We start from the raw sequence: 27,151 nt of genomic DNA on the forward strand, positions 1-27,151 counted from the left end.
GGATGGTATCAAAGAGCTCTATATTTTTCTTCTTGAGTCACTTTGATATCCTCCCACAGTAAGACCACTATAGTTGGTGTATTAGTCTGTTCTCACACTGCTATGAAGAAATACCCAAGACTGTGTAATTTATAAAGCAAAGAGGGTTAATTGATTCACAGTTCCACATTGCTGGGGAGGCATCAGAAAACTTACAATCATGGTGGAGGGCAAAAGAAGCAGACACCTTCTTCACAGGGTGGCAGGATGGAGTGAGTGCCAGCAGGGGAAATGCCAGATGCTTATAAAACCTTCAGATCTCGTGAGACTCACTCATTATCATGAGAACAGCATGGAGGAAACTGGTCCCACGATTTAATTACCTACACCTGGTGCCACACTTGACACCTGTGGATTATGGAGATTATAATTCAAGGTAAAATTTAGATGGGGACACAGAGCCAAACCATATCAGTTGGGTACTGAGGAGGACATACTGTATTAATCATGCCTTCTTATTGTCTGTATTTTCTAATGTTTTGACATCCATATTTTCTGATGTTTTGACATCTGAGGACTTGCTGATCTTGGAGGGACTGACCCTCTCAGTGTTAACTCATTCCTAGGGATAGCAAACTACTTTCCCTAGAGCATGCCTTTCATACCAAATCAACCAATCCAAAGCCTCTACTCCAAACCACCTCCTTTATTGGGCTCTCATACTCTAAGCCCCTATTCTCCTACCCTAATTACCACAGGGCCAGGTACTAAACAACTTGAGATAATCCCTACACTTTGGAGCCTGCTCAAATTTTTAAACTAGCCCATGCTAAGCCTACTTAGCCTGTGTACCCTGCCTCCCTCATTCGTTCAGTGAAAACCACAATAAAGGTTCTTGCCAATGTTTCCTGTCACTCCTTCTATCTTCTGACCCACTGTTGTGATTCTTATTGCTATGATTTTTTTCTAACTTGGTCTTGAGGTCTCTCTTTTTAGACTAGCCATAAACCAATATAGCCATTCTCTAGGAGACCTCTGACTCAGGGGAGGGGGAGTTAAATTCAGGTGTGAGTGTCAGGTGAGACACAGTGGAGGAAGTGAAAACAAAATGCATGAAAGGAAGAAATTTATTACTCACAGAACCCAAAGATGTTAGAGAGGCCTAAGAGAAGTGTGAAGATGGCAGGAGCTCATCCAGTTTGGGAGGGAAGGGAGGGTACAGGCAAAGGCAGAAGGAGGGGGTGGGTGAGGCCAGTGGAACTATTCCTTAGGCTTTCCTATGGGGGTTATGAGTCAGCTACTTTAAAGAAAACGTTTCAGAAGGAGAAAACTTACTTGCAGGACTCTAGCATTGGCCATTAGGCTTTATCATGGTCAGCAGCTCTGGAGTGTGCTGGGTTTTGGGTCAGGGGAATGAGAAATAGACCATATAGCCGACAACCACATAGGGAGAAGTTTTAACTGGGGCAACGACGACAGGGTATGACTGGGTTTCAAATAATTTGTTTCAGGCCTTAAAAAAAATTGGGGCCAGGCACAGTGGCTCACATCTGTAATCCTAGCACTTTAGGAGGCTGAGGCAGGTGGATCAGTTTGAGGTCAGGAGTTCTAGACCAGCCTGATCAACGTGGCGAAACCCCATCTCTACTAAAAATACAAAAATCAGCTAGGCATGGTGGTGCACACCTGTAATCCCAGCTACCTGGGAAGCCAAGGGAGGACAATCACTTGAACCTGGGAGGCAGAGGTTGCAGTGACCCAAGATCATGCCACTACACTCCAGCCTGGGTGACAGAGCAAGACTCCATCTCAAGAAAAACAAACAAACAAACAAACAAAAAACTGGGCCTGTATTGCCCTGCATAGTGTGTCATGCCCCTTTCTTCTTGGGAATCGTAGGTAACAAACTGTATTTTCAGTGGCAGCTGTCTCCTCATCCATTAGCTCTACCATACTTGAATAATAATAGCACTCATATTCTAAAACACTTGCTTCTTATGAGTAGGAAGAATGGGTCACTGCTTCAGAATCCCAGACATGTCCAGGAGGAGGTGAAAACCAAATGAGCAGATCATACCCAGCCTGATTGAAACACACACAATATAGTCAGCCCTTTGTCTCTATGTATTCACCAACTCTTCAAGTACACCTATGTATAGCATGCTGACAAACTCTGTCTTCTTCAATCTGCTAAATCATTTTCTACTTTCCTACATTGCTGTGGGCCAGGAGAGCCCTGGGTGTAGTGGAAAGTGGGGAGTGATTAAATCCATCTAGGAAGGAGATGGGTGGGTGAAAAAAAGTGTGTAACATATACAAAGGTTTCTATGATTACAAGCCTAATATGAAATCCAGTCACACCTACCACTCACAGTCCCACTTACTTTGCTCTAAGCCACACTGAACTCTATCTCCAAACATGCTGTGCATAGTATTTCCCTTACACAGCACACCTGCAAATTCCTTTCAAATATAACTTAAAACAATAGCACTACATGAAATGTGCCATTTTCCCAAGAAGATTGTAGACTCTTTCCCCTGTATTCTCCATAGCTTACACAATTCTCCCTTTCTGCAAATACCAAATTATCATGTTTATTGGTATAGTGATCTTACCATGGGCCTACAAAATCCATGTGGTCAAATGCCACGCCTTTCCATTATTCCTTCCCCAGAATCTTCTCCTATGCATGACATCCATGTTTAATGAATGATCAGACACAATTAATATGGGAACAGGGATGCTGACTTCTGTGTTTATGCCTCTATTCTCAGGGTCTGAAACAGCACCTGATATTTAACAGGTGTTCATTATGTGGCTGTTAAAAAAAAAAAATCAGCAATGTCTACAATGATTTGATCCTGGGTTTGCCTCTTCTCTCCTTCTTCCTCCAAAGTATATTTCTTAAATTTAACAACCCTTGCCTTCCTTTTCTGTCTAAGGGCTACTGGTAGGTAGGATAATGACTCCGAAAGGTGTCTATGTCCTAAACCTCAGAACCTGTAAATATGTTACCATACATAATAAAAGATAATTAAGTTTGTAGATAGTTTAGTGTGCTAATTAGCTAACCTTGAGGCAGGGAGATTATCCTGACTCATGCAGGTGGGCTCAGTATAAACACATAGGTACATAAAAGTGTATGGACTATGGTGAGAGTGATGTGACAACTTTACCTGCTGTTGCTGCTGAAGATAATGAAAGGGGCCACAAGTCAAGGAATGTGGGAGGCCTCTAGAAGCTAGAAGAGAAAAAAGAAAACATTCTCTCCTAGAGCCTCCAAAGAGCAAACTGCCAATGAGACCGACCCTGGACTTCCAACCAAAAGAACTGTAAGATAATAAGTTTGCGTTGTTTTAAGCCACTAATTTGCAGTAATAGGATACAGCAGTAAGAGAAAACTATTATAAGGCTCTATTTCCAAGCAGCTGAAAAAAGGCAGCTGATGAAAGAAGTCGTGCCGGGAAGTAGCCTAAGAGGCAAAAGTACAAAGGCAGGAGTTTGAATCAGACGATGCCACTTTTAAGGGTGGATTTTTCAGAGACATGTGAACCACAGCAACTCCATCTTAAATAGGAGCTGGGTAAAATAAGGTTGACACCTACTGGGCTGCATTCCCAGATGGTGAAGGCATTCTAAGTCACAGGATGAGATAGGAGGTCAGCACAAGATACGGGTCGTAAAGACCCTGCTGATGAAACAGGCTGTAGTAAAGACGCTGGCCAAAACCCACCGAAACCAAAATAGTCCCAAGAGTGACCTCTGGTCGTCCTCCCTGCTACACTCCCACCAGTGCTATGACACAAACGCCATGACATCAGGAAGTTACCCTGTATGTTCTAAAAAGGGGAAGCATGAATAATCCATCCCTTGTTTAGCATATAAAAGGATATAACCATAAAAATAGGCCACAAGCAGCCCTCAGGGCTACTCTATCTATAGAGAAGCTATTCTTTTATTCCTTTATTTTCCTAATAAACTTGCTTTCACTTTATGCTATGGACTCCCCCTGAATTCTTTCTTGCTTGAGATTCAAGAATCCTCTCTTGGGGTCTGGATAAGGAGCCTTTCCTGTAACAGCTTTCTGGTGATGATGAAGGGACTGTAGTGAGGAAACGCTGGAAAGAAAGGATAACTTTGGGTAAGTGTTGGGGTCCTGTAACATCTTCCTGGCAAACCCTGAAGGGATGATACTAAGAAGACCTCCCCCCAACCCAAGGAAATAGACTGCAGCACCGATTGGACAACTTTGGGTAAGTGGTGGAGTACCTACCCAGGTAAAGAATGGGATTGGGATAGAGGCTCAACTTAGGGGAGTTAGAGTCTCTCCTAAGACAGAGAGGGTTAAAGGCCCCTCTTAATAAAAGGCAAGGACACTTGAATGACCTTGGGTTAGAGGCCCGATTTAGGAGGATTAGAATCCCTTTCCAAGATTTAGGGGGTTAGTGGCCCTTCTTAGAAAGTCTGTCTTGGTAAAGTCCTTTCGGGCTAAGAACAGGTTTTGCACTACAGGATGTTAACTGCTATTCTCTTTGGATTAATCTGCCTTCAACTCCTTGCTGACAGCTGTGTGTAACAGGATTAGGCATGTACAGGATCATGGGACATGGGGAACTATTTTCTCCCTAAAACAGAAAACTTGAGAGCTGATGGGACTGCTGGAAAAGATCCTTCACAACCATCATGCGGCCACCTGAACCGTTCAGTGTCACTGCAATGGGTGGGTCTTTCTCTGGTGTCTCCGAGTGCCTCCCCTTCCCCACCCTGCCTCAGGCAGTGCTTTCTTCTTTCTCTCCTTCTCTCTGTCTCTCTCTTTTTCTCCTTGCAAACTGGTTGAATTAATGGTAAAAGTAACTGTCTCCTATAAAGTTTTGATTAATGGAAGAAAGGGTTTTTGAGGCTAGACTTAAGCTGTAGCAAATCTGATGTGCTTTGTGTGTTTTTCTGTATTATTCTGTCATAAAGAGGGGTACCTTATGATAGAACACTGGCTGAGGACACTTGTAAACTGCTTTTCAAGACAGACCAGCAAACTGGTCAGTTACAAACTTTGCTGCAGGTTCCTGAGAAAAATTGGATGAGATTTTTTTCTTGTCTTGCATGTCCTTGGGAGCTTGAAGCTGTAACCATGTGGCCATGTTTTCGCTTTTCACAATGGCATCCTGTGTTCAGGGTTCTATTCCTGCCTCAGGGGATGAGTTTTTTTATATTCCTATGTGTATGTATTTACATGTATTATGTGTATGTGATGTTTATTTCTAAAAGAGCATTGATTAATGGGTTTAATGAGAGCTTAAATCAAATATTTTGTCAGAAAAGTAAAAAGTGTAGTGCCTTTTAGTTCACGTGACTTTAATTTTCCAGAAATAAGGACAGTTTTGAAGATTATTGATAAAATAAAAATATCTTCAAAAATGTAAACATTTGGCTTAAATTAGGCAGGACACATATTAAGACTGCTAAATGCTTGAAGGTCATAAACTGCTTCTTTAACTTTTGAAAAATTTTCAATTAACCTACCTTGAAGCCATTAGATTCTAGATAAGACCTGGGGACATGTGGAGTTAGCCACGCCCCCTAGCTATGCTGGAGTCAGCCTTTATCTGCACTTCTGCCTGGTGTGTCCAAGGCTAGGCTCCACACCTAGTACATAATTAAAATCCTGAATTTAGCAACTTTTGGTGAAAAACCTTGGTAAGAGTCAACATTATAACATGTAATTGATACTACTGAAGAAACAGTTTTATATGCAAATTGTGTAAAGAAAGTGAAATGCATTTTTCATTAAAATTATATATATATATATATAAAGTCATGGGAATTTAGATTTTTGCCTAGATTAAAGCATTAAAGGATCGTTTCAAGTTAGGATGAAGCTGACTGTTCAAGAAAGCTGTGGAAGGCTTATGAAAAAAATAACCATAAAAGAGATTCTGTGTGCGAACATTGGCTAAAATTAAAGGGGTGTTATTCAGTTATTCTAGAAACTGAACATTGGAATAAAAGCACTATTCTACTCTTTAACAAAAACTTGTAAAGGGTTATAAAAGGTTTATAAAAACCTTACCTTATGGTCAACATGATTAAGATTGAATACATTTGTCTATAAGGTTTTACTAAGAATTGGGTTTGACATCAATAATGCATGAATACAGCAGTGACATTTGGCTTATTTAATATTACAGTCATACAAGAAGCATTATCAAATACAAAATGGCATTTGGTTTTTTTGGGCTGTATTTGTATAAATGTGTCATTGGTACATGTTCCAAAATTATTTTAAAAAAAACTTCTTTAACCCTGATATGACTTAGTGTATGCTATTAATAATTGTTAATTAAAATCATTGCATGCCACAGAGTCAACCACATTTTTCTAGTCAATTTTGGCTTTAATTGTGGCTGTTCTAAGACTTTTGGTCATCCAGACAATTGTCTCATATTAGTTCTCTGTAAAAGGTGGTTTAGAATTAAATGTAGGACTCTAGAAAACTGTGCTTTTAAATGCAGATTTTCTGATAAATTTGGACATTGTGACATCAGAACAGAGGAAAACCTTTCAGGACTCAGGGAGAGCTGAAATGTTCATGAATATCAAGCAGAACAGAAGTTAACTGCATGGACTAAACTAGCAAAAGTCTAACGTGTAAAATGTTTTCTCCCTAAAACAGAAAACTTGAGAGCTGATGGGACCGCTGGAAAAGATCCTTCACAAGCATCACGTGGCCACCTGAACTGTTCAGTGTCACTGCAACGGGTGGGTCTTTCTCTGGTGTCTCCGAGTGCCTCCTCTTCCCCACCCTGCCTCAGGCAATGCTTTCCTCTTTAACTTTTTGTGTAAAATGTTGCTGATCTTTTGTTTTGTGTTTCAGAGTCAAGGAAACTTTTGAGCTATTACAGCTTTTAGCAATTGAGTAAAGTATACATGTGTGAACAAAATTGAGAGCATATTTTTTTCTCTTTACTTGATTTCTCCAGATTTTGGAAACTCATTGTGAATAGTCTCAATTTATGGCAATATAGTTATTTGCATGAGTGTAATAAGAATCTGTTGGGTTTTTGTTTTGTTTTGTTTTATTATTATTATTATTATTATTTTTGATAACAAGACACAATTGGAGAAACTGGTTATTTTACCAAGACTTTGATGGAATGGTATACTCTAAGGAATCAAACTTGACTTGCCAAGTCAATAAAAGCCCCTTGGGGAACTGGCCTCAGACCTTTGATACAACAGTCCATGTACATGATTTCTGACCTGTGGTAAGTAAACAATGTCACCTTCTAACAGGTCCAGGAGCCCCAAGTTATCTTGGGACCCCAAGAGGAGAGGAATTTACTCAGCTCATAGGTATTTGAGGATACAAACCCATGGTAGGGCTCGGCTTAAAAAGAGTCTTATCTAAGATTCCTTCTAAGAAACAAAGTTCCATCAAAACCAGTGTTAAAAGTCTATGTGAAAAATAATTATTCTTGCTGTACTTTATATAAATAATCAGGCCAAGTATAATAAAACAAATTGGTCTTACCATGACTTATCTTTAGTGAAAATGGAAAACAGGAGAAAGAATATTACGTTTCAAGACCTATGTTACACTTGGTATTAAATTCTAGTCTCATCAGTTGTTGTTTGTTTATGCAGTTTAGGCTAACCCTGCTTATTCCTATGAACCAACCAGTGATCTTTGCCTGCTACTCTGAAAAAACAAGGCATTTTGGTAATGTAAAAATCTGGATTTCATTCTAATTCTGGGCATGTACTGGAATTGCCTAGCCACCTCATGTCAGCTTGGTTCCAGTAGTTTCCCAGTTCATGAAGAGCCTTCTAATTTAGTTTACTTGGGATACTTTTGCTTATTTTGTTATATTGCTGTTTTACTCTTTGTGTAGGAATGCAGACTAAGCTTACTAAATGTTTTCTTAAACCGAATACTTATTAATCTTTCAGATATCACCTTTCGTCAGGACTCAAGAGTTCTGAATGGCCTTCATCATACTGAAGCTTTCTGACTGAGCTCCTCTTTACCCTGAACACAAGAGACCATAATAGTCAGGCAGAAATATCATTGCCCCTATTCAGCCTGAAGAAGTTACAGAAGATGAATCTTTGTCCTTCTACAACCTTAGGATTAAGGGTTCTCTTATAAAAGGGAAGGAGGAAATGTCTAAGACATATGAACTAGAGCAACTTCATCCTGAATAGGAGCTGAGTAAAATAAGGCTGAAACCTACTGGGCTGCATCCTCAGACAGTTAAGGCATTCTAAGTCACAGGATGAGATAGGAGGTCAGCACAAGATACAGGTCCTTAAAACCTTGCTGATAAAACAGGTTGCAGAAAGAAGCCGGCTAAAACCCACCAAAACCAATATGGCCATGGGAGTGACTGCTGGTCGTCCTCACTGCTACACTCCCACCAGCACCATAATAGTTTACAAATGCCATAGTAACATCAGGATATAACCCCATATGGCCTAAAAAGGGGAGGCTTAAATAATGCACCCCTTGCTTAGCATATAATCAAGAAATAACCATAAAAATAGGCAACCAGCAGCCCTCAGGGCTGCTCTGTCTTTGGAGTAGCCATTCTCTTATTCCTCTTTCTTAATAAACTTGCTTTCACTTTACTCAGACTCCCCATGAATTCTTTCTTGCACAAGATCCAAGAACCCTCTCTTGAAGTCTGATTGGGACTTTTTCTTGTGACAGATTCTGCCAGTTTCTGTTCTTGGCAGGTTCCATTTCTACAAATTCCTCATCTCTACAGGTTTAGGATCAGAATGTTCCAGCAGGGAGCACTACAGCTGTTTCAATCTTCAGGGAGACTACTCATCTTGGGAATAATTCCTTCCTTTGTCCTGTCAGCATAATGTGTATGGACCCTGCTAAGCAGCACCCAGTCATGAAAGTGCTGCCACCGAGGAAGGTAAGGAGGTTATGACAAAAAACACAGAACGTGACCCTCTGAACAGCAGGAGAGTAGAAACCGTTCTTGTCATCAGAAATTTCAGAGAGGAAGCTCACTCACTGTCCAGCTTCCCTCCCACACAATGGAAGCATAAAAATGGAAACCCATTTTGCACAAGAAATTAGCACGTTGCCCCTCAAGAGAATTATATCCTATGTTTGTTTCTGTAGGAGTGTCTAAACAGTTAAAACCATGTACCATTCACAAAAATCTATACATAAAACATGAATGTTTAGAAAGTGAACACATATAGAATGATATTTGTTTCAATTTAAGATGCCAACCTGGATACAAGTACACATTCAGTTTGACTAAAATTGCTGTAATAATAATCTAAAAGCAAAACTAAAGAAGGGTAGAAAAAGGAAGGTAACAGATTCCTGCCATTGATAATGGAAATCATAGCATGTAAACAAAGCCAATCCTGCTTGGGAAGTTCACCCTGAGCCTGCAAGGAATGTGGGGAGGCAGCATGGGGCGCCTGGATGTTACAGGTAGTTAGTTAGGCATGAGTGGGGCAGGAGAGGGCTCCCTTCCCCCCACCGCCCAGAATGTCAGACAATCTGGTATTGATTCAGAGATTATAACGTTGCCTCTCTAATAATAATGCATAATTCAGCAGCCTGAGATAGGGAGGTACAATCTCTTGCTGATCCACAGCTGTTAACATTAAAGTGTCAATTGAATGCAGGCACCAAGGAGAAGCAAAGAAGGTTTCCAATAAAATCTCAGGTATTGGGCAGGTGAACCCAGGTATGTGCATTGAGAGACAAAAGGGTGGAGTACGACCTTCCAGGGACACTCCAACAGAAACAGGAAGAAAGCGTCAGATGGGCATGCATACAACTTCCTAAACACACTGCGCATGCTCACTTCCGAAGTGTAAGGAGGGCACTGTGCATTCGGGCAGCCTATCCTAAGGGGAGAATAATGAGAAAGGGGCACAAGATGGCCGCCTATGAAGCCCCAGGATCAAGGTTAAATGCCACACTTGCTCTTCAAGTCACCTGCTTGGATCTCTTCCAAGTGTTCTTTCTTTTCTTTCCTGTTCTAAAGCCTTTTTAATAAGCTTCTACTCCTGCTCTAAAACTTGTCTTGGTCTCTTTTTCTGCTCTATGACCCTCAGTGGAATTTTCTTCTGAGGAGGCAAGAACTGAGGTTGCTGCAGACCAGCAGGGATTCACTGCTGATAACTCAAGATACCTTCCACCAGTAACTTGGAGATGACACCAAGAGACAACACAGGCAAAGGAAAGTGTATTAATTCTGTTTTAGGTGTAGAAACTGGAGTGATTGGAAAATAATTCCTAAAAGAAATTGAAAAGTCAAATTGTCAAGCAGTAAGTTCACCATCACATTTACCATAAAGCATGTAGAGAAATGGAAATATTTACACATCATGGTTGAGAGTGCAGGATTTGCAGTCAGACAGTTTCTGGCACTTAGTAGCTTTAGAAAGTGACTTAAGCCCTCTAAGCCCTCAGTTTTCACATCTATAAAATGAAGTAAATAATATAAGCCTCTCAGAAGTGGGGTGAGGGTTGAATGAAACAATATGTGAGTAGTTTAACACAGAGACTGGCACTGACTTAAGAAAGTATTGTGATAAAAGCAGCAGTGGAGAAAATATTTTGAATAGCTGTATGCATGGCAATCCTTTAACCTCTTTATTCATGGCAACTCATTTAATTGCCACAACAAATATGTAAGGTAAGTACTTTTATTATTTCCATTGTTATGGACTGAGTTGTGCTACCTTCTTCATTTCATATGTTGATGTCCTAAGTCCCAGTGCCCCATAATGTGACTGACTATATTTGGAGATGGGGTCTTTACATCGATAATTAAGTTAAAATTAGGTCATTAGGGTGGGCCCTAATTCAATATGACTGGTGTCCTTATCAGGAGGTTAGGACACAGACATGCAAAGAGGGAAGACCAGAAAGAAGGTATAGAAAAAAAAAAATTGTTATCTACAAGCCAAGGAGAGAGGCCTCAGAAGAAACCAACTCAACAAATTTTAAAAGATGTATTTTGGAGAACAAAACTGTTAGAATATATTTAGAACAGAAAAAAACCATTTCTTCTAGAACTAAGTTGGTCTAAAAGTGCATATCTTGGTAAGGCTCTGTGAGGAAATGACCTAATCTGGAGAGAAGCTGCTGGGACACTCATCTGTGTGTGGCCTGTGGCTCACAGGGGCAGGTATTCTCAGAACGCACATGGGATAATCACCATCCTGGTGTGTCCAGGCTCTGGGAACAGGCTCTTCCTCGTGGCTTTCACATGAGTTTCCTGGTGGGCTATGTAGTCACTTTTCTGCATCCTTCTTTTAAAGGCTCATGAATGTCAAAGTAACACAGACCCTGAGATGAGGCAGGAAAGTTGTATCGGAATGTTTTCAGACTATCAACCAGACCAAACGTTCTGGAATCCATAAGATCCAGGGCTGGGGATAAATTTAATCTATTAATTATTCTTCTGAAGTTGGCAGCTTTGAAAAAGATGCCCTGAGTCAGCATAGTCATTCCAACCAAAAAGAAAAAAGGGAAAAAATAATCATCTTTCCCAACCCTTAAATCGTCCAGCACTAACCAGACTCTGAGACCCTCTGCAGCAGCAGCCTATCAGTGCAGCCACATCCTCTCTGAGCGGATATGACAAACCCCAGGGGTGAAGCGACCTAACCTATGAGCCGCCACACACACTCAAGATGCCCCAGACACCCTGCACTCCGATCTTACTCGTTCCTTTACTGTTTTCATCCTAATTGCCCTCTTACACATTTGACCACACATTTTTGGTCTTGGTGGTTGTATTAGTTTTCTGTTGCTACTATACAAATTGCCACCCATTTAGTGGCTTAAAACAATGCAAATGTATCACCTTACAGTTCCGTAGTTCAGAAACCAACATAGGTATCACCCAGCCAAAATCAAGGTGTCGGCAGATCTGGGTTCCTTTCTGAAGGCTCCAGGGGAGAATCGATTTTCTTACCTTATGGGTTGTTTTCCTCTATCTTCAAAGGCAGCACGTTCTGTTGCTCTGACCCTACTTGCGTACTCACAGCTCCCTCTAAACACTGCCGGGAAAGGCTCTCCACGTTTAAGGACCTGCGTGATTACATTGGACCCACCTGGGTAATCCACGAACTGCTTCCTATCTCAAGGTCGGCTGATTAGCAGCCCTAATTGCACCTGCAGCTTTAATTCCCATTTGCCATCTAACTGAACATCCACAGCTGTTACGGGTTGCAGGGATTATTAGCACCTGGACATCTTTAAGGAACCATTCAGCCCACCACTCCGATGTTCCACTAGAGGGCACTAACATATTCCTGTAATATAAACATTAAAATTCAGATAATGGTGGGAGGGAAAGTTTGATAAAATTGAATACTGTATTATCAATTTTAAAAACTTGATATATAAATATGTCTCATTGGGGTCTTTCAAAAGCTAATCATATAGTACAAGAAAATACATAAACTGGAGTGACTCTCAGAACTAAAATGGCCTGAGCGTAAGTGAAATAGAATTTGAAGTGAGGTGAGAATTCTGCAGTCTATTCCTGGGCTCAAAATCACATAGAAAAAAACAAAAAAAGGTTGCTTTATATTTAAAGGGACAAGGCGTAGGTTCTCTTACAGGGGTTTTTAGGAAATGGTTCATCAGTTTAGTAGGTGTTAGCTTAATTGCTTTTATCGGGATACTGTTGCCCCGGTTGGGTGGATGAGCAGTCCCTAAAAAGAGAAGGAAGAGAGCAAAGACCGAAAAAGTATGAAGGAGAGGAAGGGATGGCATGGCGTAGAATGAAATGCTTTTTCATCAAAATGCAAAGATGAAGGAGATGTTTCAGAGTGCCCGGCCGTCTAGAGGGTTCTGTTTACTTTCCATTCCCGCTGTTAGGGACATAGGAGTCTGCCCTACATTAGGGAAATGGAATAGAATAAGTTTCTAGAATTCCTAAATATGGTGGAATTGGGTAGAAAAGATCAGAGGGAAGGTTGTAGGGAGGAAGGGTGGGAAAGTAAAACAACTGGCTCCTACTGTAAGGCTATTGGAGCCTCAGGCTAACAGCATCATTTTAGTACCTTGGTTGAGGTAGAAAAGGAAACGAGAGCAGAATAGCCTCATAGTCAAAGGAACACAGAAGGAGAAACCACATTGCTGAGGAGAGTGAATTAGCTGGTAGAGGGACAGAATATAGAATTAGCTACCTCCTAAATCTTGAATTAATCTAATATGAAAAGACATTGGGAAAAATTATAATACTCTGAAGTGTAATTATGTACCTGTTCAACTTTGAAACACCACGGAATGTTGGGAAATCCAATATCCACTAATAGTGAGCTATGTGGACGCGAGTAAATTCTGAAAGATTTTGCTATTTGGATGTCAAGGTTTACTAAGTAACATGAAATTATTTACTTGCAGTGGGTTTTTAGAATGAAAGTTGTTTTCCCTCTCTTAAGAACACCCGAATTCACAGCTAGGATATGGAGGATTTGCCAGGAAAATGCAAACACCTGTGGCTGAAGTAGAGCCAAGCTCTCTCCCTACATTTTTTTCCAGAAAGCAGTGGTGAAGAAATAGAAAAAGAGAGAATACTCCTCTTAGATCAGAGCTAAGGTCCTGATAGCAATCACTCCTTTCTCAATGCATGGAATGGAAACTGTTAGAGCTGCACCTCTCACCATGAAGGGGTCTGGGGGCAAGGAACTCATCTCTGAGGTTTGAGAGTAGGCCTGAAAACCGGGAAGGGGGCTCCTTCTTGTCTGGAGATGATAATGATTTGGCAAAAACAATGACGGGCTCTGTGAGGCTCTACTTGTGGTAGGAAGCTTTTGGGAAGAAAGGGGTAGCCTCCTTCTATTCCACCATCCAGGAATACATTCGTTCCTACAAAGTACAAGAAGGATTCAAAGGTATACATGTGTCAAAAATCACAATGAGCACTGTAAATATATGCAATTTTTATTCATCAACTATACCTTAATTTTAAAAATTAAGAAAAGTTCAAAGGTGTTCGAGGAGGAAGGCATTCTGGGGAATCCTAGGAAAGTCACCTCAATGTAGGAAGAACATATTCAGGCAGAAAAGAGAGCAGTACCAGCAGCTGCTGGAAGATCTAAGAGAAGCTTGACACTCCTGGCCCCAAACACTGCCTGGCTACAACACGATATCCAGGGACAGATACCTTCCATGTACAGCAAGCTGTGGAGTGGCAAGAAAGCAAAGCACGTACCAAAAGCAGGCAGGAAGCAGAGCTGGCTGGTAAGGCTCTGAGGTTACTGCAGGAAGCAGGTGTTGCCTCTGCCTTTCACCAGCTTCTTCTGGAGAAGAACAGAGAAGGGGAAAAGAAGAAAGATGCTCCAGATACCATCTTTGGTGGAAACAGCTGCTAGCTCTAGCAATGATGACTAAGTCAATTTTGCTAAAGAGCAAAGAAGCTGTGTGTCTTGGATTTTAAACAGCAATAGACTAGCAAAATAATCTATGATGTGAATCTGAGATTTTACACCCTAGACTCTTTTAAAATGTAGTGACTAAAAATATATACCAGTGGATAAATGAAGTCAGGGATATACTTGAAATTTTTTCTGCCAGAGTAGAAATGACTTCAAAATATATGATAATGCAGCTTTCATGTAATCCCAGCTACTGGGGAGGCTGAGGCAGGAGTATTGCTTAAACCCGGGAAGCGGAGGTTGCAGTGAGCCAAGATCATGCCACTGCACTCCAGCCTGGGTGACAGAGTGATACTCTGTCTCAAAAAAAAAAAAAAAGATAATGCAGCTTTCAATATTATAAGCTTTATGTTCTCACACTTCTAAGTGATAATCAAATGTGTTACACCACTTTATACCCTGAGATCCAAAATACATAAATATTTGACAGTTTGTACAAGACTGTATTAATAAGAAAATGTGGCACATGTATAAAGAAAGGAATCTCACAGATTAAGGAAAATGACATTGATTACAAATGTCCTCAGCCTGAGTTGGCTGTGTTGCGTTTGTACACTTCAGCCCTCTGAGCTGAAGTGGGAGTGGTTTCTCTCCTGAAAATGTTTCTGAGGCCCAAATAGCTGAAGAGGTGGAGACGTTACAGAAACCACCTGGAGCCCCCAGAACTGGCAGACACCTGCCTGATGCTGCCATGGGCCCCCAGCTCCTTGGCTATGTGGTCCTTTGCCTTCTAGGAGCAGGTGAGTCCCAGAACACATAGGCAACTTTTGGCCTTATTTTGTAGGCCTCAGCCCAAGGCATCTCCTAAAGGCTTAAGCATTGGAGATCCCCTTCAGCGCTGCCTCTAACTCTGTCCCCTTCCTTTACAGGCCCCCTGGAAGCCCAAGTGACCCAGAACCCAAGATACCTCATCACAGTGACTGGAAAGAAGTTAACAGTGACTTGTTCTCAGAATATGAACCATGAGTATATGTCCTGGTATCGACAAGACCCAGGGCTGGGCTTAAGGCAGATCTACTATTCAATGAATGTTGAGGTGACTGATAAGGGAGATGTTCCTGAAGGGTACAAAGTCTCTCGAAAAGAGAAGAGGAATTTCCCCCTGATCCTGGAGTCGCCCAGCCCCAACCAGACCTCTCTGTACTTCTGTGCCAGCAGTTTATCCACAGTGTTGCACAGCCAGCTGCTCTCTGCACAAAAACAGAGGGTAGCTGCAAGAACAAGGAGACTCCTCCTTCAGGAGACCCCTCACCGACCAACAGGATAAACTTCCTCCATCATCCCACAGAAGCCCTTCCCCACACGCCAGCCTCAGGGACTCTGCAATGCAGCCACTCTGTGGAACCAGGGGTCCATCCTCTACCTGCTGTACCAATGAGGTTTCAAAGTTGGGCAGGACAAGCTCACTGAGTTAGGTCTAGTGCCAGGGTACACTCTCCCATCCTTTCTTCTTGTGGAGCTTAAATCTTTAAATTCAACTAAACTGTTGCCCAAACTGAAGACTCCATTTACAATCTAATGGGTCTCAACAATATTTGGTTCTGTATTCCAGGTCCTATTTATTCTGGAGGTTTTGTCACTTGGAGGAACACCATGTTTGGAGTTATTTATGAAACCCAGCACCTCCTATTTTCTTCCTCTCAGCAGATGGTCCAAATGCCCAAGCCAGAGATGCAAGACTGATCTTCACTCTCTCTCTGACTTTCTCCTTCCACACCAAATCCACTACCCTATCCTGCATTTTTCTAAGTACTAAATTCCTCACAAATTTTACTAACTTTTCTAATTTCACTGATCTCACCTGGATCACTTTAGCCACCTTCCAAGTAGCCACCCTACCTGCAAGCCTGCACCTGCTCCCACCCAAAACCACTCCCTCAAGCTTAAAACCCTTTGGTTTATTTCTATTAACTAGCTAAAGTCTCAAGTTTATGTTAGTTTGCAAGTCTCTCAGCCCCTCCATGATGTGACCTTTGCATATCCCCCACCTTTCTAACACTGACTTCCCTTATCCTTCAACTACCACAACTGCCTGCATCTACTCCAGAAACATCCCATTTCTCGCACATCCCCAAATATGTCCACTGCTGACTCACTCCTGGGTCTTTATCTACAATGGTCACTCTACCCAGAATACCATTTCTCTCTCTGGTATTCATCTGTTCTTCCAGCTGCTCTTTTTGTGCAGACTGCAGCTGGCTGTGCAGCACTGTGGATAAACTGCTGGTGCAAATGTACAGAGAGGTCTGGACTGGGCGACTCCAGGAATGGGGGAGATTCTCCTTCATAGACCAATTTAGAAGTCACTTCCTCCAAGACGATTGCCTTGAATCATTGACTGGATTATTTCTCCGCTGTGTGTTCTTCTAACAGCCTGAACAGAGCTAACACCAACACCGAGACACCACCATGAACTCACCAGCCATTGACTTCTCTGTTCTATAGCTTTTTGCCTCTTTGGAATAGGCATGTCATGGGTGCAGGTATGACGTCCTTGAACTTGGTTTGCTAGACCCTACATTAAGCCTTTTTCTGGTGGTTACACATCAGTATATTTCCTAAGTTCTCTCTTTTTAGCCACAATGTCCATGAATGCTGGTGTCACTGAAATTTCAGTTTATCAAGTTTCAGAGTCAGAATATAAAGTTCTATATTACAACCAGAATATGTTTTATGACCAATATGTGCTGAGCCAGACAAGAGGCAGGAATGAAGCTCCAACTAATCTATTTCTCAGTTGGTGCTTGGAGTACAAACAAATAGAGAGTCTCTAATAGACCTGTGTCTCTTGAGATAAGACTGAGCATTTCTTTTTTTTAATATATATATACTTTAAGTTCTATTTCTTGCAACCTCCAGACATCCAGCCCTTCATAGACACTGCCAGCCGTTAACCCGAAGCCCTGCACAGCCACTTCCTCTCTGAACAGAAAAGACTGCCACAAGGGGAGAGACGGTCTTACCTTCCTGAGCCTGCCCTTGCCAGAGGAAGCCACTGCCACCGCAGAAGCACTTAGGAGCCTTTCCCACCTCCTTGCACTGAGACTTATGGAACTCTTGAGGGCCCTAGTCTGTAAAAGTCCATCCCCGGCCTGGCGCAGTTGCTCATGCCTGTAATCCCAGCACTTTGGGAGGCTGAGGTGGGTGGATCATGAGGTCAGGAGTTCGAGACCAGCCTGGCCAACATGGTGAAACCCCATCTCTACTAAAGATACAAAAAATTAGTCAGGCATGATGGTGCACACCTATAATCCCAGCCACTTGGGAGGCTGAGGCAGGAGAATTGCTTGAACCCAGGAGATGGAGGTTGCAGTGAGCCGAGATCGCACCATTGTACTGCATCCTGGGTGACAGGATGAGACTCCGTCTCAAAAAAAAAAAAAAAAATCTATCCCCAGATCACGGTGCGCCTGTGAGACAGAGCTGTCAATGTCCTCTTTCCCTTCCTTCTCATTTGCTGTTTCAATAGGGCTTCATCAGCCTGAGTTCTTTATTAGAATTGACCTGCATCAATCCAGTGCCCCCCTCATACCACCTACTAGGGAAGGCTGCATTCTACATTACGGTCTTCAGGGATCCTCTCTGGGGCCCCACATGCTTCCCTTTTTGTTTACCTGTGTCTCGGGGCAATTTTAATCTTAGTCTTATACTTTTCATTTAAGCAGGTTAGGCTACACTATACACTTACAGATTTTGCCAGTAGAAGCTTTGAGACTTCACATCTTGTAAAATAAAAAAAAAAAATTGTACTAAAGATAACAATGTTTATGGTTGTGAAGCTTTTTTTGTAAGCAAATAGTCTGGTGAAACTGAAGTTCAAAGGTGTTTGTGTTGGGTAGCTGTGTCAGTATGCTTGATTTATGGTAAGGCCAAGTCTGTTGGATTAGATATTAGATATTCACAGTAATGTCAAAACTAAGGAATATAGTCTGAATAATTACAATAACTATTTTATATTATTGCAAACAACTTAAAAACTATTGTGACTTGATTGATTCATACTATGCATGGATACAGTTTCAAAACCTGTTTAGACCATCAGAAAGTTTTAATGAATAATGTTAGCAAAATAACCACAAGTAAAGTGTTACCGGAAAATGCAGTATAAGCATCACACTGACAGTTGTAGCTGACCCTTTTGTTTTGATCAGTGGTTCTCGATGTGTACCAAAATTACTTGGTGAGATTTCTTTTTATTGTGGGAATAACACTTAGCATGAAATCTAACCTTTAAACAAAACTAATGTGCAATATGATATTGTTAACTCTAGGTACAATGTTGCATAGCAGATTTCTAGAATGTAATTATCTTGTATAATTGAAACTTTACACCAATTGAATGGCAGCTCAGTTCTTCCTTCTCCCATTTTCCTGGCAATTATCATTCTGTTCTCTGCTTCTCTGTGTTTGACATAATGCTAAGTGAAATGAGCCAGTCACACAAGGACAAATCTTTCATTGAAGGAGTCTTTTATCACCAAAAGTATTTAGAATTCCTGGCACTTGGTGATAATAAAAGCAAAACCATTTCACTTGGGTTTTATGATTGTTTTAAAATGCTTTGCACCCTTTATCGCTTGCACCTGGGGCTGAACACACCTACCACCCCATTATTGATATACCACCATCTCCCCAACCCCATCAGGTAAACCTACACATGTGAGCACTCACATGAACCTACACATGTGGATTTGAACCAGATTCAAACCCAGGCAGCATAGTTCCAAAGCCTGCCCTATTACCCAATATGCTACTTGTAGTAATTATTAAGTATATTGTATGAGAAACTAAGACTGCTCTCAATAAAATATATGTTGAGAGTGAGGAGAGACAGACAGAGAGAGAGAGAGAGAGAGAAAATGGTAAGGTTTTCCTAATCACAGTTGGTCAGGAAAAAAATTACCTTCACTTTCAAAGACTGAGACTCACCAGAAGGACTCATGGGACTCGGCGTGTCCTTGTACTCATAGCAAAGATGTATCACAAATATGTAGTAAGAATACTATGATCACAAGGAACAAAGACATGGTGGACTTTGGAGAAATCCATGTGAGACTTCCTTATGTTCTCTTCCATGAGAGAGCACACTCTCACCCCAACAATGAAAATGCAGCAACGTGAGAACAACCTTTCTGCCCAGGGAAGCTCATTAGAGACTCAGCACCTCCAATACTTTCAGTGGCTGGTGTTAGGTGCTGAATCGTGTCATTAAACATTCATATGTTGAAATCCCAGCCTCCAGTACTAAGAATATGACTATGTTTGGAGATAAGGATTTTACAGAGGTGGTTAAGGTTAAATGAGGTCCTCACTAATATGACTGGGATCCTTATAAGAAGAAATTAGGACACAAACATGCATAGAGGGAAGACAATGTGCAGACACAGGGGGAAGCCATCTACAAGCCAAGGAGCGAGGCTCCACGAGAAACCAACCATGCTGACACCCCGATCTTGGATGTCTAGTCTCCAGATGTATGAGAAAATACATTTCTGTTGCTTAAATGACCTAGTCTGTGGTGACTTATGGCAGCCCTCGCAAAATAATTCAGCTGATCACATTGGCACCCTCTGCCTATCATGCAGCATAATTCCAGACTTGACGTAAAGCAAGTGTTCAGCCTAACCCACGTGGTTTGTGCAAGCAGTCTAGACACACTAAGCCATGCTTACCAGTTACTATAGTGGGAACACTCCCAAAATTCAAGTTCGCAGATGCAAATCAAGAGCCAACCATGCAAGCAGTCCCTTCTAAGGCCAGCAGTCTCAGGCCCGCTGTGTCAACTCTTTTCTATACGTGCACATACACACAGTGACACTTCCATGAGCACAAGGGATGTCCTTCACTCTCTAGCACCTCTAGACCCTTTCTAGTCTAGACAATGGCTGAGGGATTATGAGAGTGGGCCGGGACAATGACATCACAGACCATCAACCCACTGCCTGGTCCTGGGAGAAGACCTATTCTTTCTTCAAAGCAGCCATGGGAATCAGGCTCCTCTGTCGTGTGGCCTTTTGTTTCCTGGCTGTAGGTGAGTCCTGGGAGTTGCTGGGTCTGGGGAGTTGGTGGCAACCCCTGTCCTACTATTTTGAGGTCTTTTATACCAAGCTCTTTTCTCCTCTCCTCCTTGATGGCCTGTTTTTCACCCTTGCTTTCTGTCTCTCACAGGCCTCGTAGATGTGAAAGTAACCCAGAGCTCGAGATATCTAGTCAAAAGGACGGGAGAGAAAGTTTTTCTGGAATGTGTCCAGGATATGGACCATGAAAATATGTTCTGGTATCGACAAGACCCAGGTCTGGGGCTACGGCTGATCTATTTCTCATATGATGTTAAAATGAAAGAAAAAGGAGATATTCCTGAGGGGTACAGTGTCTCTAGAGAGAAGAAGGAGCGCTTCTCCCTGATTCTGGAGTCCGCCAGCACCAACCAGACATCTATGTACCTCTGTGCCAGCAGTTTATGCACAGCGCAGCACAGCCGCATCCTCTCTGCACAAAAAGAGCGGACGTAAGAGAGAAGGGGCCCTAACTCAGGGCTGGTGCTGGCTCCGATGGCACATTCGTGCTAAATAGAAAAAAAGCGGCCACTAAGGAGAAACTAGCTCCATAAGCACACTTCTTTGCAAGGAGAGAATGAGGTATTATTTTTCACCCCTTTACAAGTCAGGGACTGTTCTGGATTTAATTCCCCCAGTCCGATGTGTTGTAAATTCACGAGTCCCAACAAGGAGGAAAAGTCCTCTCGCATATTCACAGTGTAACCCTGTTCTACCATTTCGTTAATCAATTTTACCTTCCCTTTTCTATCCTCGTCTCTCTTAACTGTGCATTTTCTACTTTGCTTAGTGTTTTGCTCTTGGTTGACATTTCACTAGAGGACATTAACATATTCTAAATTCTTTCGATGATTTTTACTGTGCCTGTGCTGATTCAAGAGAAAGTTTGTGGAATTTGAATTTTGTTCATTCAATTTAGAAAGAGAAAAACTCTGATTAAAACAAATTCTTCCAGGTTCTCCGATCAATCATATTTTGCTGGAAAAAATTCTGATCACAGAAGGTTTAAACTCTGCTGCAGAAGGTGGTAGGAATTTGGTTATAACTGAACTCACAATCTTCTGGAAAAAGTGTGTATTTGTCTGTCTTTAAGAATAAAACATATGCTCTTCTGTCAGTAAAAATTAACAGTGCTTTGGAAATACAAATAAATGTAAAGGGTATTAGAAATCCCAAACTGCAGAGCACTTGCACAATTATTATTGGCAAGACAAAACAGGCATCTGAAAACGTATTTTGATTCAGTGCTAAATTTTTGTGTGGAAGAAGTCAGAGAAAAAAATTGAATGAATGTGTATCACAATATTCAAGATTAAGTTTGTGTGAGATAGGACTTGAGCTGATTTTGAATACAAGTAAATGAGGGAAGAGAAACCATCAAAAGGAAGAAATACCCTGCAAATGTTTCTGTGAGAGAGTCTACCAGAAGGAAGAGGAAGATTCTTTCCCTGAGGAAAGACAGGAATCACAATTCTCCTGGCCGAGGTCAACATCCAGAACAGAGAAAGCACATCTTCCCAGAATATCATTAAAATCCTTTCCCTTTTGCGCCGAGAATACATGCTAGCGGTGCTTGCGGCTGCAGCGTTTCCCCTGAGATAACACACAAGGTTTGATACAAGAAATTCTTTCTCCACCTTCTAAACATTACAGTGCTTAACTCCTACATCCTGTTCAAGAAGGAGAATTCTGAGCACACGGTTTGCCATAGAAACTTCAGACTGACATTGATTAAAAGGATGCTGAAAAAGCATCGTGAGCCAGGGCAGCAACGTCTCTGGGGTCGTCCACGCTCTGATGATGTCACACCTCTTGGCCCACCTGGAAGACATTTTCCCAACAGCATTACCACCATCAAAGAAACAAAACCCAACTGGTCACTGCACTTTTGCTGCTCACACAATGACGAGGATGGCAAGATCTATAGAGAACGGCAATATTTTTGTGCGGAATGTGATGTTTCACTTTCTGTTGTTCCGTGCTTTGAAATTTTCCCACACGAAAAAATTATCTAATAGTGATTATTATATACATTTCTGTGATGTTAGGATTAGAGGCCAGTTCTGTTTAGAAATAATTCCAAGAACAGTTTTTATATTTTATTTTCATGTTGATAATCAGTCAAATTTGCTTCAGCCTCAAAGAGCATGTTTATGTCAAATTAAATGAATGCTGGCAGCGAGCTGCACTTTTTTTACTAAACAGGAAAAGGGTTAAATAACAGAACACTGTATCTACAGATTTTCATATTCAGTGAAACTTCAGGTTTTCTGAGAGTCCTACATTTTCCCACAGATTATTTATTTCTTATAGCAAGTATTGCCCAGACTCAGAAGATCAACTGCAAGAGATGGGAACAGGTACCAGCACTTTGCGTCCATTCCCAGGGCTATGTGGGACCATTTCCAACACAGGGGTCATCACCTCAATTGAGTCCCTGGTAGAAAGAGTGCTATGCCAGACTCAGCTTCCCTTCTGGCATGGTTACCACCTGCTCCCTCCAACACAGCCTCACCTTGCTAAGAAAATGCAGCCCAGGGAGAGAGGAAGAACACATAAAAAAATGAAAATGAAAATAGGCAGAGATGGAGTATCAAACATCAAAGTGAGTAACAGAAGACATCTAAAGAGGTCAAAAGGATTGTAGATTGGGATAGGAGGTTTGAATTTAGAAAAAAAATGAAAAAGTGTTCACGGGGGAGTTCACAGTTTACAGAATAGACTTTTTTTTTCTTCTTCTTTTGAAATGGAGTCTCGCTCTGTTGCTGAGGCTGGAGTGCAGTGGCACAATCTTGGCTAATTGCAACCTACACCTCCCAGGTTCAAGTGATTCTCCTGCCTCAGCCTCCCGAATAGCTGGGATTACAGGCGCACGCCACCATGCCTGGCTAATTTTTGTTATTTTTAGCAGAAATGAGTTTTCATTATGTTGGTCAGGCCGGTCTCGAACGCCTGACCTCTTGATCTGCCCACCTTGGCCTCACAAAGTGCTGGGATTACAGGTATAAGCTACCACGCCTGACCCACATAATAGACTTTTAAAGGCACATAATAGATCATGGATGTTTACCATGAGGGTACAGAGAATAATTCAGAAAATGTAAACCATTATTTCACTAAACATACATAAACATACATCACATTAGGAGACCAACAAATTCACAGAACATAAAAATTGATACTCTAAATCTCCAAGTAAGCAATGTTTGTTTATCTATTTATTTATTTTGTTTTACTTTAAGTTCAGGGATAGATGTGCAGAATGTGCAGGTTTGTTACATAGGTATACATGTGCCATGGTGGTTTGCTGCATCTATCAACCTGTCATCTAGGTTTTAAGCCCTATAAGCATTAGCTGTTTGTCCTGATGCTCTCCCTCCCCTCGCCCCCGACCCCCAACAGGCCCTAGTGTGTGTTGTTTCCCTCCCTGTGTCCACATGTTATCACTGTTAAACTCCCATTTATGAGTGAGAACATGCGGTATTTGGTTTTCTGCTCCCATGTTAGTTTGCTGAGGATAATGGCTTCCAGCTTCATCCATGTCCCTGGAAAGGACATGATCTCATTCCTTTTTATGGCTGCATAGTATTCCATGGGGTATACATGCCACATTTTCTTCATCCAGTCTATCATTGATAGGCATTTGGGTTGGTTCTATGTCTTTTAAGCAATGTTTTAAATTATGTGATTTGGGAAAATATAACAAAATAAATTATTTTTTGTTGAATGGGAGTATTAACAGGGCTCTTTGATGGGACATGGCTGGGAAGATGTCTGGCCTCTTCCTGCAGGGAACAAGGAAAATTTAGAGAAGGAGGCAATTTTTTTTTCTCTAGAGTCCACTGAGATATCACAGGTAGTTTATACATATAAAATACAGCAGCCCTGACATACAGATATTATTTTCTCCTAATTAAAAATAAATTTAAATAAGTGAAGTGTAATTAAACCTAAATTTAAATGACTTGCCTATAACCTCACAGCTGAAAAGTTAGTGGAAAGGCATGTTTCTATATTGTTTTTTAAATAATAAGATAATTGAATCCAAGATAGGTATATTTCCATCTTCAGCTGAATGGGTCCCAAGACCAACCATTAGGTGAAAGACGTAATCCACACAGCCAGGGAATTCTACCTTCTACCTTTGTAACAGCAAGATAGCCATAGCACCAAAGACATTTTTAATGTCTTAGCACAAGCTTCTAACACCTCCATTTTGAAGTAGAAGGATGAAGGCTTGAGAGCAGAAACTGGATCTTGTTAGTGATGGACAAGTGGACATAGTCATATTAATTGTGCGTTTTACAAGATTCTTTGATAATCACTATTAAACCAGCTGTAGATACACTGTATCATCATTTATCTCCCATGTCACCATCATATCATAAGATTAACATTGATGACTTTGAAAATTTGCTGCTAAAATTAAATTATCTCAATTTTCCAGTATCCTCCTAACTGACCTAGCCAATTTTGTATGGCTTGAAAAATTGGGAAGTCTTCTCATCTGTGCTAGATCTTCTTCAATTAATTTCAATTCATTAAAACAGAAATAGCAAGAAACTAAGAGTCAATGGGGTTTCTTCATCCCATCATTCCCTATAAAGGGCAGTGACAAGCACCTAGATGTAACATAGATTTCTTCTGCCCTCTGTTGAGGGCATCAGAACTGGCTCAGTTCACTCAGACATCGGTGGCAGAAAGTTGAGGGAGATTTCCTTTATGCTTAAGCCTTCAGTAGAATAAACTGGTACCTGTTCTATCCAATGGATGCTGTCTTATTTAACTTGGGACACTGAAGGGGTACTATTCACTAATGAAAACATTAAAAAGCAGACCATAAGATATTTTAAAGAAAGAGAAAACATAATGAAGGATGTATAATCATTACATAGTGTATCAGTCTGTTTTCACACTGATGATAAAGACATACCCGAGACTGGGAAGAAAAAGAGGTTTAATTGGACCTAAGAGTTCCACATGGCTGGGGAGGGTTCAGAATCATGGCAGGAGGTGAAAGGCACTTCTTACATGGTGGCAGCAAGAGAAAAATCAGAAAGAAGCAAAAGCAGAAACCCCTGAGAAACCCATCATATCTCGCGAGACTTATTCACTATCATGAGAATAGCTCAGGAAAGACTGGCCCCCATGATTCAATTACCTCCCCCTGGGTCCCTCCCACAACACATGGAATTCTGGGAGATACAATTCAAGTAGAGATTTGGGTGGATACACAGCCAAACCATATCCTTCTGCCTCAGTCCCCTCCAAATCTGATGTCCTCACATTTCAAAACCAATCATGCCTTCCCAACAGTCCCCCAAAGTCTTAATTCGTTTCAGCAATTACCCAAAAGTCCACAGTCCAAAGTCTCATCTGAGACAAGGCAAATCCCTTCCACCTATGAGCCTGCAAAATAAGCTAGTTACTTCCTAGACACAATGGGGATACAGGGATTAGATAAATACAGCCATTCCAAATGGGAGAAATTGGCCAAAACAAAGGGGTTACAAGTCCCCATGAAAGTCTGAAATCCAGTGGGGCAGCCAAATTTTGAAGCTCCAAAACGATCTCCTTTGACTCCAGGTCTGACATCCAGGTCATGCTGGGGCAAGGGGTGGGTTCCCATGGTCTTGGGCAGCTCCACTCCTGTGGCTTTGCAGAGTACAGTCTCCCTCCCGGCTGCTTTCACAGGCTGGCATTGAGTGCATGTGGCTTTTCCAAGTACACAGCACAAGTTGTTGGTGGATCTACCATTCTGGGGTCTGGAGGACGGTGGCCCTCTTCTCACAGCTCCACTAGGCCGTACCCAGGTAGGGAATTTGTGTGGGGGCTCCAAACCCACATTTCCCTTCTGTGCTGCCCTAGCAGAGGTTCTCCATGAGAGCCCCACCCCTGCAGCAAATTTTGCCTGGGCATCCAGGCCTTCTCATACATCTTCTAAAATCTAGGTGGAGGTTCCCAAACCTCAATTCTTGACTTCTGTGCACCTACAGGCTCAACACCACATAAAAGGTGCCAAGGCCTCCACCCTCTGAAGACACAACCTGAGCTCTATGTTGGCCCCTTTCATCTATGGCTGGAGTGGCTGGGACACAGGACACCAAGTCCCTAGGCTGCACATGGCATGGGGACCCTGGGCCTGGCCCATTAAACCAGTTTTTCATCCTGGACCTCCAGGCCTGTAATGGGAGGGGCTGCCATGAAGGTCTCTGACACGGCCTGGAGACATTTTCCCATGGTTTTGGGGATTAACATTAGGCTTCTTGTGCAAATTTCTACAGCTGTCTTGAATTTCTCCTCAGAAAATGGTTTTTTTTCCACTGCATTGTCAGGCTACGAATTTTATAAACTTTTATGTTCTGTTTCCTTTTTAAAATGGAATGCTTTTAATAGCACCCGAGTCACCTTTTGAACACTTTGCTGCTTAGAAATTTCTTCTGCCAGATACGCTAAATCATCTCTCTCAAGTTCAAAGTTCCATAAATCTCTAGGGTGGGGAGAAAATGCCATCTGTCTCTTTTCTAAAACATAACAAGAGTCACCTTTGCTCCAGTTCCCAACAATTTCCTCATCTCCATCTGAAACCACCTCAGCCTGGACCTTATTGTTCATATCACTATCAGCATTTTTGTCAAAGGCATTCAACAAGTCTCTAGGAAGTTCCAAGCTTTCCCAC

General features: G+C 41.7%; 2 pseudogenes, 2 gene segments (V, D, J or C) and 1 further gene, besides 7 other annotated features; all 5 read left to right on the plus strand.

Moving 5' to 3' along the window:
• The window catches only part of TRB (T cell receptor beta locus), a 514,277-nt gene that overhangs the window by 401,271 nt on the left and 85,855 nt on the right, over window positions 1-27,151 (plus strand).
• On the plus strand, window positions 11,103-11,643 carry TRBVB (T cell receptor beta variable B (pseudogene); annotated as a pseudogene). Its single transcript is given in 2 exon segments — window positions 11,103-11,151; window positions 11,285-11,643. Coding segments are annotated over 2 exon segments (408 nt in total).
• Window positions 11,644-11,650: a recombination feature (RSS_heptamer).
• Window positions 15,108-15,580, plus strand: TRBV27 (T cell receptor beta variable 27). The segment is given in 2 exon segments: window positions 15,108-15,156; window positions 15,286-15,580. Coding segments are annotated over 2 exon segments (344 nt in total), but the record flags the coding sequence as incomplete, so codon positions are not given.
• Window positions 15,581-15,587: a recombination feature (RSS_heptamer).
• Window positions 15,588-15,610: a recombination feature (RSS_spacer).
• Window positions 15,611-15,619: a recombination feature (RSS_nonamer).
• TRBV28 (T cell receptor beta variable 28) lies at window positions 20,399-20,879 on the plus strand. The segment is given in 2 exon segments: window positions 20,399-20,447; window positions 20,585-20,879. Coding segments are annotated over 2 exon segments (344 nt in total), but the record flags the coding sequence as incomplete, so codon positions are not given.
• Window positions 20,880-20,886: a recombination feature (RSS_heptamer).
• Window positions 20,887-20,909: a recombination feature (RSS_spacer).
• Window positions 20,910-20,918: a recombination feature (RSS_nonamer).
• Window positions 21,973-22,657, plus strand: PGBD4P1 (piggyBac transposable element derived 4 pseudogene 1; annotated as a pseudogene).

Source organism: Homo sapiens, chromosome 7 (genome assembly GCF_000001405.40).
Source record: "Homo sapiens chromosome 7, GRCh38.p14 Primary Assembly".
Taxonomy (NCBI): Eukaryota; Metazoa; Chordata; class Mammalia; order Primates; family Hominidae; genus Homo; species Homo sapiens.